The sequence below is a fragment of the Homo sapiens genome, chromosome 8, assembly GCF_000001405.40.
Source record: "Homo sapiens chromosome 8, GRCh38.p14 Primary Assembly".
Taxonomy (NCBI): domain Eukaryota; kingdom Metazoa; phylum Chordata; class Mammalia; order Primates; family Hominidae; genus Homo; species Homo sapiens.
In genome coordinates this window covers 57,205,256-57,206,776 of record NC_000008.11, presented here as the reverse complement: position 1 = coordinate 57,206,776, position 1,521 = coordinate 57,205,256, and the positions used below count along the sequence as shown (strand labels likewise).

Below are 1,521 nucleotides of genomic sequence, written 5' to 3'. Positions count from 1 at the left end.
CCTAAGGTTTCCTCCTGCTGACCATGCGATGTTCTTAGCCGTTCCTTCTGAAATCGCTGCAGTCTGCTTAGATGTTCCCTCTGCCACACGCTCAGGGCTGTCAGATGTTCCTTCCACCAGACACTCCATCTCGTCGGATGATCTGCCACGCGTTCAATCCTGTCAGGTGTCCCTCTCAGTCACACGTGTGGAGCGGGGCCCGAGAGGGTTCCCCACCACCAGTAAACATCAGGCAGCCACAAGGTGATGGCCCGGTGGTCACGAAGCAGACTCTCTAGAGAAATCACTGATCACAGGCAGCACCAGGGAAAGGCAGTCCCCCTCCCCGACAGCAGTCACGAACCTCAGAAGCCTCCCCAGCACACCTCGGGAGTTGGGTGAATGGGCTCATACGTGCACCCTGAGAGGCAAACTGGTGGAAGGTTCACTGATCTGGGATGTTTTCCCCTGGGCACATTCATCTGCTTGTGGGACGAACGCCTCAAGAGAGCATGAGAACAACTCCAGTAAGCACACGGCGCCTCCGCGCCCCCATGAGATGGTGACAGGCCACTGTGCTAGTGAACAGCCCCCTCTTCCCCGCCGAGGGAAGCATCAGAGGACAGGCAGCGATGCTGCCGACGCGGGAGACCCTGAGTCCAAGGTCCAGTCCTGTACTCCACCTCTCAGGTCACCGCCCACCTGGGCCTCTTCCAAGCCTCCTTGACTTCCTTTGGCTCCTGCCACGATACCATTTCAGGAACTTTCGCCCCTGCTCTAATGCGTGCCTCGGTCTCTCACTCTACCGTGTGCCACTCGATGTCTTTCTTCTCAGGAGGCAGGAACCGAGGTTGCCACAGGCCCATACGCGTCTGTCGCCGCTCACGGGCCTGCTGCCAAACGTGGAATCTTGCCCAATGTGTCCTCTGCCAGACATGCCATCTCTTCAGATGCTTCTTTCGCAGGCCACGCGCTTGCAAGCTTCCTATGTTTTCCTCCCCACCGCTGTGCCATCGGCTGCAATTTTTCTGCTGTCCACCATGGCAACCTTCTCACGTGTTCCTTCTGCCACACATGCAATCTCCCTACCGTGCGACCTGCTAAAGGCTTTCTGCTGTCTTCCATGTCATCTTCACACTTGGGCCTTCTGCCCAACGTGCAATCTACCTGAGTGTTCCTTCTGCCAAACAGCCAACTGCGTCCATTCCTTCCCCTGACAAGTGCTCAGTATTATCCGGCGCACCGTGGGCCCAATACTTCCTCTTCCCAGATGTCTCTCGGGCAGGCCTTGCAATCTGCCTAGGGTGTCCAACTGCCGATCCCTCAGTCTTCTCATGGGTTCCCTTGCCCCACCATACCCCTGCAATCTTCCTACCCTAAGGTTTCCTCCTGCTGACCATGTGATGTTCTTAGCCATTCCTTCCTAAAACACTGCAATCTGCTTAGATGTTCCCTCTGCCACATGCTCAGGGCTGTCAGACGTTCCTTTCCCAGACACTCCATCTCGTTTGATGATCTTCTGGCACACGTTCAATCCTGTCA

The 1,521-nt window shown here is 56.3% G+C and overlaps 1 annotated feature.

Annotated features, from left to right (window-relative positions):
- Window positions 732–1,233: an enhancer, noted in NCBI's record as "H3K4me1 hESC enhancer chr8:58118103-58118604 (GRCh37/hg19 assembly coordinates)". NCBI's record gives its function as "activates a minimal SCP1, AML or CMV promoter by ChIP-STARR-seq in primed H9 embryonic stem cells {active_cell/tissue: H9 hESC(primed)}" and the evidence as "EXISTENCE:reporter gene assay evidence [ECO:0000049][PMID:30033119]".